The sequence below is a fragment of the Homo sapiens genome, chromosome 1 (genome assembly GCF_000001405.40).
Source record: "Homo sapiens chromosome 1, GRCh38.p14 Primary Assembly".
NCBI lineage: Eukaryota > Metazoa > Chordata > Mammalia > Primates > Hominidae > Homo > Homo sapiens.
The window spans coordinates 100,974,641-100,989,227 of NC_000001.11; the positions used below are offsets into that span (position 1 = coordinate 100,974,641).

At 35.9% G+C, this 14,587-nt stretch overlaps 1 protein-coding gene across 4 annotated transcripts in view; it reads left to right on the forward strand.

Moving 5' to 3' along the window:
* The window catches only part of SLC30A7 (solute carrier family 30 member 7), a 99,989-nt gene that overhangs the window by 78,551 nt on the left and 6,851 nt on the right, over positions 1 to 14,587 (forward strand). For 2 of the 4 annotated variants that reach the window (XR_246237.4, XM_017000400.3), the window contains exon 11: positions 170 to 262. Coding sequence is in view for 3 of the 4 variants with exons in the window: in XM_017000400.3 (XP_016855889.1) it covers positions 170 to 217 (48 nt within the window). In the remaining variant the exon portion in view is untranslated. Of the gene's footprint in view, positions 1 to 169; positions 7,118 to 14,587 lie in introns of those variants that run through there. The other 2 variants (NM_001144884.2, NM_133496.5) reach the window with 2 other exon arrangements.

Genomic DNA, 14,587 nt, shown 5'->3' on the forward strand with positions numbered 1-14,587 from the left:
GGTAAATGGAGATTATTTTTTGTAGCTTATGAATATATTTGTTTCTGAAATGATTCTTTTCTTTTTTTAAAAAAGTGAGATTTGTAAAAGAAAAAAAATACTTTCCTGAAATGTGTAGGGTGTTATTAGCTTGTTAGATTTTCTAACTTTTTTTTTTCTTACTTTTCAGGCTGGAGTGAGACAGCTCTACGTACAGATTGACTTTGCAGCCATGTAGTGAATGGAAAGAAATTATGCACCTTTTATGGACCAAATTTTTCTGGTACTGTACGATCCAAAACATTGTACCCAGCTTTTTAAAAGAGAGAAATTATCACTACAACTCCCGAGCACTAAGTAGACGGGGTAGAGTCAGCCGTTCATGCTTTGTGGGGAGTTCACAGCTAAGGGATCAGATTTAAGAGGATATCTCCTGGACTTTTGGTCTTTTCTTTTGTGCTCTTTCCTCCAAATCTTTTTGACTTCTGAGGTTTTTAGCTTAGGATGTTAATTTGTCCTTTTGTCTTTCTTTTTTTGTTTTTGTTTTCTGTTTGTTTGTTTTCATGTTGAATGCCCACACCACCATCCTCTCATCCCAGCCAGTAAGAATTTCAGTTGTGGGCCTCCAGTCTTCTGGAATGTCTTCACTGCAGCTGCTGGAAATCACTGCTTTCATTCCCACAAAACCAGTATTACTTTTTTTTAAAAAAAGAAAGAAATTGGAAATCTGTGCTATACGTAATGTCATAATTGTTGACGTTCTTCAGTATAATCATGTTTGTTAAATTGTTTGTACCTTGCAAACTTATGAACCAAACCATATTGGGTTTTCAAAGTGCCTTTGTATCCAAAAATGTATTTGCCAGCATAGAAATGTACCATCAAGAGTCATGTATGTTTTATTTTTGTTTTTATTTTTTATTTTTTGAGATGGAGTCTCGCTCTGTAGCCAGGCTGGAGTGCAGTGGCATAATCTCAGCTCACTGCAACCTCTGCTTCCCGGGTTCAAGCTATTCTCCTGCCTCAGCCTTCTGAGTAGCTGCGACTATGGGCGTGTGCCACCATGCCCAGCTAATTTTTGCATTTTTAGTAGAGATGGGGTTTCACCATGTTGGCCAGGATGGTCTTGATCTCTTGACCTCGTGATCCGTCCACCTCAGCCTCCCAAAGTGCTGGGATTACAGGTGTGAGCCACCACGCCCGGCTATGTTTTTTTTTTTTTTTTTTTTTTTTTTTAACAATGGATATTCTGTAAAATATCCTGTACAAAACAAGACTATTGCCAGTAATGTATACAAATTGTCTTTTTGTGTACTTCCAGCATAGGTTTGGATATATGAACATTTTTCTTTTATTGTTTTATCTTCACAGAAAATAAAAGGTGTTAATTTGCTTTTTAAAACAAATTTAATTATCACATTTTAAATTACTTTGTGGACTGTGTTTTCAAAACTTTGCAAATTCATCTGTTACACAGAAAATTTTGACTTAAAACATCTGCTGAATTCCAAATTTCTGTAATAGCTACTGTATCTGTGATAAACTTTCCTATATCTTTCCTTGCCATTTCTATGGATTTTATAATGAAAGAAAAAGGCATTGGAGACTGAAGGCAGAAATGGTTGTGACAGTGCTGTTTGGCTTTTTCATTCTTCAAATGCCAAGTCATCCACTTTGTTTTCCTGTTTAGGCTTTGCACAAATACAATTGCTTTCAGGAATCCTAAAGCAGCATTTTATTGAGTTTGAATTATTAAAGGTACAGAGGAAATGTGGTGATGTAGAACTTTTCCTAACACAGGTATCTAGGAAGTAAGTGCTGAGTTGATTTTCTAGGTTCTTACGTATTTGAAAAATAAAATTGCAATTCGAGATAAGTGCTTGAGCACTCTACTTAAGTATTCTCTGTGTTTTATGAAGAGAAAATGATCTGATTTTCCCTTATACTTCATTTTACAATACATATTCCCTTTTAACTTAAAAAAATTGTAAATGTGGGAGAAAAAACCCTGCAGGATGGAAACAATTATTAAGAATGTAGATCAATAAGTACTTTTTAGTGATGTGGCAGAAATCCCTGTTGATTCTAAGTTTTAGAGTGTCTTTTCCCCTATTTCTGACCTACAACTATAAACTACTCTCTATTAGGAGAACTAGACCACTTTCTTCATTCTTTTCTAAACTGCTGCAGATTGCCGTGAACTCTATCAATAGTCTCTTTTCCGCAGGCAAAGTGGCATTTTCTAAACATGTTTGCTTACTGCCAGGTGGTTTGAAATCTATGATTTACTGCAGTAGTATGTGCTTAAAACAACTGTTGAGGTCTTTTAAGCAGGAAAGTTCAAAAGGAAGTGTCCTGATAATGGTACTGGTTTTTCTACAAATATAAGTAGTCATTAGAAGTTTGCAACCACCACCAAGTCTGAGAGAACTCTGGGATATTCTGTGGGTTTTGGCATATTAGATAGAGAAAATGACAGATCTAGATGAAGGGAGCTTTTGGATGTGTGCCTTTAAAAACTGATTATGTATAAATACTGATATTTCACATACGGAGATATTTGAAGACCCAAGTCTGCCTTTCACAGAGCCCTCCATTCCAAGTTTAGTTTTTGTCAAAATATGAATCATTTTATTTGACTGTACTATCAGTACACAAATGCATGAGTATGTTTATACAGTGTTAGACTGATGTGAATTTGCATTTGTTACATTACATTGCCAGCGCATATCATTTAGCAAGTTGGCATTAACATTTATGCTTTAATTAAATGCCAGTATACCTATGTGTGCAGCAGTAAAAAATTAGTGAGAAAAAGCAACTTTTTGTCACTCTTAGGAAATATTTTGTCTTATTAGTGTTCTTGGCACATGTATATTACTAAAGTAGATAATTCCAATGAGAAATACTACCAGATTATTGTTATAAAATTAATTTACAATGTCCCTGATATTGAGCTAACTCTTAAAAAAACCAAACAAAACTCGTATCTGAGTGTAACTTTGCCAATATTTTAAAAGCCAAAATATTCTCTGGACAACAAATTTGTATTGCTCAGGGACAGTTTACCTTGCCTGGTAAACCTTCCCAAACAGAAATATAGCTATACTATCTTTGGTTTTGTTTTTTTGTTTTTTTTGTTTGTTTGTATTAGATGGAATTTCACTCTTGTCGCCCAGGCTGGAGTGTAGTGGCGCAGTCTCAGCTCACTGCAACCTCCACCTCCCGGGTTCAAGTGATTCTCCTGTCTCAGCTCCCTGAGTAACTGGAATTACAGGTGCACGCCACCACGCCCGGCTAATTTTTGTGTTTTTAGCAGAGACAGGGTTTCACCACGTTGGCCAGGGTGGTCTTGGACTCCTGACCTCAGGTCATCCTCCTGCCTCGGCCTCCCAAAGTGCTGAGACTACAGGTGTGAGCCACCGTGCTCAGCCACTAGCTTTGGTTTTTTAAACATAGATTATATTCCTCAAGATGAAGGGCTTAACATATCCACAGCTTCCTCAGTTTGCTAACTCCCCATGCATCTTTGTGAAGGACAGTATCTAGTTTATCTGTAGGTCAGTGTTCCTTGTGCTGTCATTTCCCTTATATCTGGAATTTGTCAGCATTCCTGAAAACCTACACGTGTATATCAGTAACCAAAATGCTATGCCTTTTTTGCACCTTTGTACAGCAGCCAAATCATGAACTCAAAATGTATTTGATCACAGTTCTATAATGTTTTTACCTACCTATTATGGAATAATCAGTTTTTACAGAGATTATTAATATGGTAGAACCCTGTTATGTAATTCCAAAACTTAAGAACCATATTTACATTGCTTAACACAGAATTTTACATCTAAGCAAGGACTGGCTTTAGAAGCAGTGTAGTTCTACCTCTCATTTTACAGATGAGAAAACCGAAGCCCAGAAAAACTCTCATTTGCTCAAAGTCACAGAGAAAATTAGTGGCAAAGCCAAAAAGATTCAGATCTTCTGACTCGAAGTTGAGAGTTCTTTATACTCTATTATGCTGCCTCTCCAGTGTAATATTTGCCTTTCTGTAAATGGGATTAAATATGATTTGTAAATAAAGGACATCTGACCTCCTTTTTTGGTACATTAAGGCACTTTATAAATGGACTTTTATTGTCTCATTTTTCGTATATAATTATTTCCATCATATTCTTTATGGAAGATGCAATTAATTTTAACTTTTTTACTCTTATAAAACCAGTTCCTGACATTTTAAAAAACAATATCTGTAAAATGGATCCTTTTATGAGTGAATTTTTCTGCTAATTGCCCAAGGCTAAATCCAATTTAAGGATTGCTTAGTTTCTTTATTTTGTTTATGGTCTCTGAACTGGTATTTTTTTATAAACCAGGCTAATTCACAGGTCATACCATTTCATTCTTGTCGTGTTGGCTTCCAGTCACTGGAAAAGCTTTTGCATTTTAAAGATTTTTAGAGCCATGCAAAACTGGGCATTAAATGTTGCATAAAGCAAATCTTTTAAGTAAGGTAAAATGTTGAAGTCTTAACCAGAATTCCTACAACTAATTACTAAAACTGCTATTTCTAACTCTTCATGAAAGCATTACCTTTGGAAAGTTAAACTTTTTTTTTCCTTTCATCACCGTCTTTGAAACAAATTATTTTCCAATTCATAAGAACTTTGGTAAAAAAAAAAATAAAAGGAAATTATATGTTTTTCTTTGGACATTCATTGGAAGGCTTGTTGAAGACATGATCCCCCAGAAGCCTTAGTGACCCAGATCTCAACCAGAGACTCAAGATAGCCTCAAATACAGTGAAAGATTATGTATCCAAAAAAAAAAAAAAAAAAAAAAGAAAAGGAGCAGGGAAGGACAGTTCTAGTTAAAGCCAAATGGATGTGAGTCTGACAAGGGTGTCTTTGATTTATATTTCCTAACTGCAAATTACACAGAAAGTGAGAATGGGGAATAACTTTTATTAAGTATTTATGTGCCAGGCGGTTAGTGTGGCCTTCATGTTATTACATTTAATCCTCAAATTTCTACAAAGGAATAATTTTGCATGATTTTATGATTGACGGAGCATTTTCAAATCTCCTCTAATTCTCATAACATCTCTGTGAGGAAGGAATTTTTATCCTTATTTTACAGATGAGGAAGCTGTTTGGAGATAATTTAAGTGACTTGCCTGGGGAATCTAGCCAGTAGTAGAGTACTGATTAATCAGGTGCTGACATCTGCTCTGCTTTGTGTATGTAATTCAGCAGTGCTTCAAAGATCCAAGAAGCTGTAGCAGATCTCAATACACTCTCCTATAAAATTAGTGAATAATCACCATGACAAAATTGGTATGGCGGAACAGTCATTATACATTATTTAGACTCATTCCTTCTTCCAGTGCCCTTATGATTATTTCCTACCTTTACCATTGATCTTAAACTGTGCAGGCTAAAAAGAGGAACCAGAACTCCCTTAAGCACTTTTAAGACTATTTAAAAAATAAAGTTTTGTTGGCATTGAAGAGTAAGCTGCTTAAGGGACTGAATGAAAAGATAGTACCCTTTGTGGCTGTATGAAGAGAGAAACTGAATTTCTATCCAAGAGACCTTAATTTAGTTTATTAGGGAATTATCTTCCCCAAAAGTACAAGTAATTTTGCACTGCAGGAGAAGGATAAGTAGATTTGATTTACATCACATTTTATACACACCTTTCAAAAGGAAGAAATCTGTTTCATAAATAGTAGTAATCTATGCTTAAACTTAACATTTAATGTTGACTTCTTACAACAGCCTTGAAAATTATTTGTAATTTTGATCATGATGTTGGAAAGCTTGTAATAAAGAATATCTTTCTCTTCTGCATCCTTTTATCCTCAAACTTAGCATGGATTCACATGCTGAGTAAATGTTTGGTTAACTAGTGAACATTTTAGATAGTTGTGTCAAAAATAAGGGTTAGGGATAGGTAAAACCAGTAATTTACTGTTTTTTACAGAAGACATCTCAGCATTTCTTTGGCATTTTTGCACAAATAAATGACTATATATTCACCTTGGCCATTTTTTTTTTTAAGTAGCCCTATGAGCTGCTCATTCTTTTTCATATACAGTGGAAGTATACAGATGTTATCCATTTTACAAATTGTTGGATCGGAATTTGACAGAATTGGGACTGTGGAACCTGGGTCACTTGAATTTTCTATATTTTGTATGGCCAAATCAGGAACCAGACAGTCTCCATAGTCTCCTTTGTTTTTATGGAAAATTGCCATATTCACATATTTCATTTATCCTAATGTATTGTCATCCAAAATGAAAGAGGTCTTTCTTGAAGGTGCTTTAAAGACATCACTACATGTATTCAATTACTGATTTAAATATTCCCAGAATTATTTTTTACCTTTCTCTTTTTCCTCTCAAACACAAAATTTTAGTAGTACCTCCCTCTATTTCTTCACTGATTTTTCATCTGTTTTCATTGTTATTTCCACTATAGAACTTCTACTTTATACTAGCGGGGAAAATTTTTTTATTTAGAATTTTAATATTTGAATTTTGTTTATGTATCACATACTGTGCTACAGTTAGCCTCAATGAAGATTCTATTTTGAACTAGACATCCTGTCAATAGTTTGTCAAGTAACTTCATTGCTTCCTTTGATAGCAATTCAGTGAAATTTTTTCCCAAGTGATATTTTCCCCCAACTTTTGTGAGTTTGATAAATAGGATGAGTCTTTTATATTGGAAATACTGTGAATGGAAAATTGCCAAATCCCTTCTTAGTATATTTTAAGCACCCTACAACACTTTACCTCCCTGCCTTTAGTGGTATTTAAACATATGGCCAAGTTAGTATTTGGGTTTGATTCCTTTGGTGAAGATTAAGGCATCAAAACATTTCTTAAAATGTTTGAGTACAAGGCTAAGTTATAATGTCAACTTTCAAAGACTATGTTGTGATTCGGTTTGAATATGCTGAAGTGAGCAATTATGATTTGCCCAAGTGCAATACAACAAATCTATAATGTATATTTCACATTTTCTACTTGAACACATTCATGTATATATTTTGTTAAACTTCATATGTATTTAAAAAGAATCATGAACTGTATCAAAATTCTTTCAATAAAATTTCTATTTAAAAATCTCTACCTGAATTGTGTCTTATCAGTTTGACGAACTGAAACAAACACTGTGAATCTTACAGGTATTGGAATAGATACTAGAGGACTTAAGGAATGAAAGGCAAAGAATGATTCTCAGAGCCAAGAAACAGCAGAACTTACTAGGAGAGAAGAGATGCTAGGAGGTTGGAAGTATCTTTACATTGTGAACAGCCTCATTGTGGCTCTTAGTCAGCATCTGACCTCATAAACATGTCTCGAAGTATTTACTTCCAGATATTTCCATCACTCCCAAGTTGTTCTCTCATCTCAGTTTCTATGGATGACTTTGTCTTATATGACGTGAAGACCAAAACATCTGATGTGAGCCTCCATTATCCTTCCAAATTTTTCCCTCTGATTAGATGCAATTCTTTTTTAAAATAACTTCTTCCACAGTATCCCATGCACCACTCATGTCACCTTCCTTCTCAAAGGTATTCTTACCAAAGCAGCTTCTTTACTATCATCAATCTCTGCCATACTTCAAGGCTTTATCCTCAGCATGTCTGCTGTCAGATTCCTTGTATGTGGTCTACATTTGCTGCTTCTACCTCCTTTCTAACCATTTCCATAGCTCCTAGTAGTATAGCTTCACTCCTCCCTATTTCGTAGAAGTTGCTTCAAGGCCATCAGTGGCTTCTCGTCACATTCATGGCAGAACTACCAGCATATCAAATTCAAAATTGAAGAAAACAAATCTTTCCCATTCAATTCTCAACTACCAATTTGTCGGAATTCTTCATAGAATTCTTAGAAAACTAAGCAATGCCCTGTCACCTCCATTTCCTGAATCCCTTATCATAAAACGTCTTTCTTCCTTTGAAATCTTTTACTTTCTTTTCCATTCCCACTGCCCTATTCCAGGATTTCACTGATGACTGCAAGCAGAATCACTTTCCTTGCCCAACTCTAGCCACCTCCATTTCAGCCCCCACCCAAACAATTTTGGCTTTGGCCTGGAGTACAAGGAATTTTTGTTGAATCCAACTTTTGTCCAGGTGCTTTTGAAGCATTTGTCCTGTCCTGGCTTCCTGAATGCCGGGAGCTGGCCCCTCTGCATACCTGCTAGATTGAGACTCCCTACCTATCCTGTCTTCTCTGTAATTAGCCTCTGGCCTAATTCTACAGTGGCCTGTCAACACTCCTACAGAGCAGCCTCTTCTGTTTACACACTGGGTTAGGAAGTTGTTTGGTACAATACTGCACCGGCCAATCTTATGTAGAGTTTTGGCTTTCCTAACCGCAGAAGCCACCCCATGTTAAACTGGTCTTGCTTTCCCAGTTTCCACTTGCAGTCCTCTAGCTCAGGAATCTTGAGTGGCTCCCTAATGCTTATCAAGTGTAAACTCTTCTGAACAACTTTCGAAACTTAAATGCATTTCATTCCCTCCTTAAATCAAACCCTTGATATGGCACCAAACTTTTCATTAGTCTAGAGCAAAAAAACAGCAGAGACAAGGAGGAGCAAACAGGTTCAATAGATATAGACAGAATGACAGCAATTTACTACTTTTTTTCATTCTTTCCAAAAAAAAGAAACAGCATTTTAATGGGATTCTAGTTCATTAAAACATTATCAGCTCATCCAGTTCTACTTTGAGGCAAAAAAAAAAAAAAACAAAACAAAACAAAACAAAAAAAACTACCATGAAATTCAGGCTTAGCACATGCTACCAACATTTAAATTCACAATTCAAATTTATCTGCTAATGTTGACAGTAAGAAATGCATAGTCTGGCACAGTGTAGGCAAGGCAATCAGTTTATTGAAGAAATGGATGAATTTTGCTTTTTAATGTAAACTTTAACTCCTCTTTGAAAAGTGATTCTGTATGAATTGTTAAAGTGAATAGTACTCTTTTTGTGAAAGAGCAACTGCTAAAACTAAAGAATAAAGCAAAATAATACAAAGACCTTATAAAAATTATTTCCTGAATGTAGCCACCAAATGGCATTGTTTAAATGTGGTATTTTTTAAGTAAACAAGATATTCAGATTCACATATAAGCAGGAGCACTTAGATAGCAATTAAGGCTTGGCTTGGCCATTTGGCTTGGACTTTTGAGTATGTCATTGTGACTTGTAAAATTACAAATAAAATAAGGTCCATCTGATTAGCCGTCGCTGTCTTCCACCCTAGACAATAAGTTAGATCATAATGTTCAGATTTACAGGGTTTATTGTCCTGTATGTGCATCATACTACTTTCCCCGTGAGCAATAATTTGTACACAGGTCATATTGGTTTCTACAGACCTCAGAAGAAGGCAAAGTTACTACATTTGTAGTTACATTAGTTGGAGGGAAGACTTCCCACTGGCTTCCAAAAGCTTTGGCCAGGCAATCCTATGGTGGTGGCCAACAGCTATGTAAGCCCATAGGAACTAAAACTTTGGGGGAGGGGAATATTTCTGTTTGGTAGAGTTATGGTTTTAAAAGGGTACAGCAACCCTGTTGCTTTTTTCTCTCTGTACCCCCACCACATGGAGCAGAATGCAGGCCCAGCCATGAAAGTATGAAATAGTATCAGAGTAGAGTAACTAGATGCCCAATTTTCTGGCCAGAGGCTCAACCAAGAAGGGGAGCCCAGGGAACCAGGAAGTGGAGAGATTATGGAGTGGGAGGAAACCACGAAAGCAATCTCATAAAGTTGTTTATGAACCCCAAGGATCATCCTCAAATCACTAATGCTTGGATCTGATTCTATTTAGCCTTGAGAATCTTGAGAACTAAACTATCCAACAGACGACTTCGTAAGTCCCAAATTGTGTGCCACAAACTTGAAATAGATCCAAAGAGAACTGCAGTCTTTGAAAACCGAACTTACACTGGAACTGTGGCCCATAAAGAGCAATCTGATAATTGCATCCTGAAGCTAACAGGTTGGTTGCCTGCTCAAACAAAAAGATTGATATTCTCCATTAAATCTGAACAAGACCCAGCAACTCACAACATAATATTCAAAATGTCCAAGCTATAATCCAAAATTACTTGATAAAGTGCTGCAAAAAATTTCAACTTACAGAAAATCAATAGATGGTAAAGCTGAGATATCAATCTTAGAATTATCTAACAAAGACCTTAAAGCAGATATTTAAAATGCTCAAGCGAGCAATACAAAAATGCTATATGAAATGCTCAAACACCTACAGAAAAATACATGACAAAGAAATCACAAATAATCTTGAAACAAATGTTAAAATAAAAAACAGAAGACATAAAAAGAACCAAATGGAAATTTTAGACCAGTAACCAAAATTTTAAAAACATACAGATGGACTTAACAGCAGAATGGAGAAGACAGAGAAAAGAGTCAATGAATTCATAGATGGATAAAAATTATCAGCTCTAGGCAACAGAGAAAACAGACTGAAATAACAACAACAATGAACAAAGCTCGGGAACCTGTTGGACAGTAAGAAATGTCTAACATTTGTATTTATCAGAATTTCTCAAGGAGAGGATAAAGTATATAGTGCTGAAGGAAGATCTGAAGAAATAATGGCTGTAAACTTCCCAAGTTTGGTGATGTACACCTAGAGTCAAGAAGCTGGGCAAACCCAAAACAGAATAAACCCCAAAATATCCACACCATCTCAAACAATTCCAATCCAAATCTCACAACCTCTTTTGTATATGTCAACAAGCTCATTCTAACGTTTATATGGAAAGGCAAAGGAACTAGAATAGCTAAAACAACTTTGAAAAAAGAATGTTAAAGGAACCACACCACCTGTTTTTAAGACTTACCATAAAGCTAAAGTAATTAAGACAGCATAGTATCATAGAAGGGAGAGATGCACAGATCAATAGAACAGCAAGAGTTCAGAAAGAAACCTACATAAATAGGGCTTAATGATTTTTACAATGGTGCAGAAACAATTCAATGGAAGAACAGTCTTCTTATCAAGATGTTGTAACTAAACATTTACATGAAAAAAAAAAATGAGTGTGGATCTAAAACTCACTTCATACAAATATTGAGTCTGTTGAATTTGTGATGGGATCTTAGACATGGCAACAGAAGCATAATCTATGTAAGAAAACATAAACTGGATTTAATCAAAATTTAAAACGTTTGCTTTATCAAAAATGGTTAAGGGAATGAAAGGACAAGCTACAAATGGGAAGAAAATATTTGCAGGTCATATATCTTACAAAAGGTTTTATCCAGAATATGTAATAAACACTCAAAATTTCACCATATGGAAACAATCCAATTTAAAAGTAGGCAAAAGACATGAACTGATGCTTCATCAAATAGGATATAAGAATGGTGAATAAGCACATGAAAAGATGATCCACATCATTAGGTATTGGGAAATACAAATTAAAACCACAACAAAGACACCACTGCGGCCAGGCACAGTGGCTCATGCCTGTAATCCCAGCACTTTGGGAGGCCAAGGCAGGCAGATCACCTGAGGTTGGGAGTTCGGGACCAGCCTGACCAACACGGAGAAACCCCGCCTCTTCTAAAAATACAAAATTGGCTGGGCGTGGTGGTGCATGCCTGTAATCCCAGCTACTCGGGAGGCTGAGACATGAGAATAGCTTGAACCCAGGAGGCAGAGGTTGTGGTGAGCCGAGATTGTGCCATTGCACTCCTGCTTGGGCAACAAAAGCAAAACTCTTGTCTAAAAAAAAAAAAAAAGACACCACTACACACCTATCAGAATAGTTCAAAATACTGCCAACATGAAGTGGTGGCAAAGATACAGAGCAATGGGAACCCATACAATGCTGGTGAGAATGCAAAATGTACAGGCACTTTGGAAATCATTTTGGCAGTTTCTTATAAAATTAGGTGCACACTTAACCATGTGATCCAGCAATCCCTCTGGATAAAATATCAGGCAAAAACCTGTTATGTTAATGTTTTAACAACTTTATACACAATCGCTAAAAAGTGGAAACAAACCAATTATCTCTCAAATAGTGAATGGATAAACTGTAGTCTATCCATATGAGAGAACACTACTTAGCAATAAAGAGGAATGAACTAGAGGGATGAATATAAAGGGACAGTGGGAGATCTTGTGGGTGATGAAACCGTTCTGTATCTAGATTATGGAATAGTGTTTCACTACATGATAATTTTAAAGAACTTTATAGTATTAAAGAGCTAAACACTATTAAATAATCAAATGTATGCAGCCTTCAGGTATTTCTATTTTAACTAACATTGGATTTCAGAGAACAGACTGAAAACACTATTGTTCATCCTTTCCCTGCTGAGTAGTGCAGTGTTCATTTTACAATTTCATTTAAATTGAGGTTAAGTTACATACAGAACAGAATTGCCAGATTTAGCAGACAGAGGAACCTGGTTAAGTTTAATTTCAAATAAAAATTTGGTAGGTTCCCTACTACCACCCTTGGTAGCTTTTTTCTTTTATCCTTGGTTTTCATCAGTTTTACCTGTTACGTTAGTTATGATTTTCTTTATTTATTCCACTTGGGGTTCACTCAGTTTATTGGATCTGTGAGTTGATAGCTTTACCAAATTTGAGGTAATTCTGGCCTGTAAGTTACTTATATTTTCTTCTGCCCTATTTTCCTTCTATTCTTCTGGAAATCCAGTTACATATGTTAAATAGCTTGATATTTCCCCAAATGGCATTGAGGCTTTCTGTTGTCTTCCTTCTAATCTTTTCTTCTCTTTTCCTCAGATTGGACAATTTCTTTCATGTGTCATCTCTATGCTACGGTTAAACCCAACCATTTTCTTTTAATGTTACCACATTTTGGGTGAGAATATATATCTATATTCATTCATTACAACCACCCTACCTTTTTGTCCATGAACATAGTTCTAAAAACTGCTTTAAAAATCCTTGTCTGCCAATTCCACCATCATCTAGTTTATGTTCGGATTTTTTTTTCTGTTGTCTGCTCTTTTTTTTTTTTTTAAACCATAAGCTATAAACTGTATTTCCTTATTTCTCTGGATACCCTATAGCATTTTATTGTATTCCAGTCATTGTTTATATGTTATACAGATTCATTTTATCATACTCTGAAGAGTGCTAAGCTTTGATCTCATTTAAAGTATTGGCTAATCACCTTGATTTTATATTATGTTAAAGGTTTCATCCTTAGTTTTAGCATAAATCTTTAGTCTTGTGCACAGCCTTTACTAATACATGGCCATTCTGGGGTTTGGGAAGCTCAAGGTTCTATCAAGCCCTTCTAACTTGTCAGAATTCAAACTTGAAACTGTGTCTTCTATTGCAATAGAAAACAGCCGTCTCTGTTCAGCTTCTTGAGCCTTCCAACTGTGGCTTTCCACCAAGGTCCTTGGAGTCTTCCCGGGGCATGCACGGTTTGAGAGTTAGCTAAGGATTTAAGGAGAGATCATATGCAGACAGGAAGCCTCCTCCATTTCTGACACCTTCATTTCTAGGATCTGCTGCTTTAATTTTCAGTTCTTCTAGCGGCCTTTAATTCCATCCTAACACCTCAAGCCAGTAAGATTGCAACTTTCTCTTGAGTTCTAGCCACGCCTTACCACACAGTCTGGGAAAGACCGAAGGGGAAAAACCATATATAGTTCACAGCTGGTTTCAGTGACTCCCTAGAGTTTTTAGACCATTGTTTATTATATTTTGTCCACAGTTTATAATTGGGAGGGTTTGTACATTACAAGCTATTACACCATTACCAAAACCAGAAGTCCTTCATTATATAGTTCTTAAATGTTTAGTTTAACATATGAGAAGAAAATAATATACAACTGGTATTTAAATGTACTTGGCTCTCTCCCCTTCTGTGTCTAACAGATTGAAAATGAGGCCAGGCATAGTGGCTCATGCCTGTAATCCCAGCACTTTGGGAGGCCAAGGTGGGTGGATCACTTGAGGTCAGGAGTTCAAGACCAGCCTGGCCAACATGGCGAAACCCCATCTCTACACACACACACACAAAATAGCCAGGTGTGGTGCCGCCACATGACTGTAATCCCAGCTACTCGGGAGGCTGAGGCAGGATAATCGCTTGAACCTGGGAGGCAGAGGTTGCAGTGAGCCAAGATTGCACCACTACACTCTAGCCTGGGCTACAGAGTGAGACTGTGTCTCAAAAATAAATAAATAAATAAATAAAAAATAATAAAGAAAAAAGAGATGTTTCATATATATATAAATATTTCTTATCTCAAATGAAGTAAAATAAGTCAAATAATCTTTAGCTAATTGATGATCCCAGGGAATAGGGAAATCTGTTCAAATTTCAATGAATTTACTAAGTAAAGAGCTCAGAAAAATTGGTTAGGCCATGGAAATACTTAGAGTTGAACCAACTGAACTAGGATATAAGAAAGCTATTTCTATTCAGAACTGAAACTCTTTGAAATGAAATATAATAAATGGAGTGTTATTTAATACTAGTAAGAAGAGTGTGACTACTCGCACATATACAATGGCATATTAACTGAATTAAGTTATATGGCATATCTT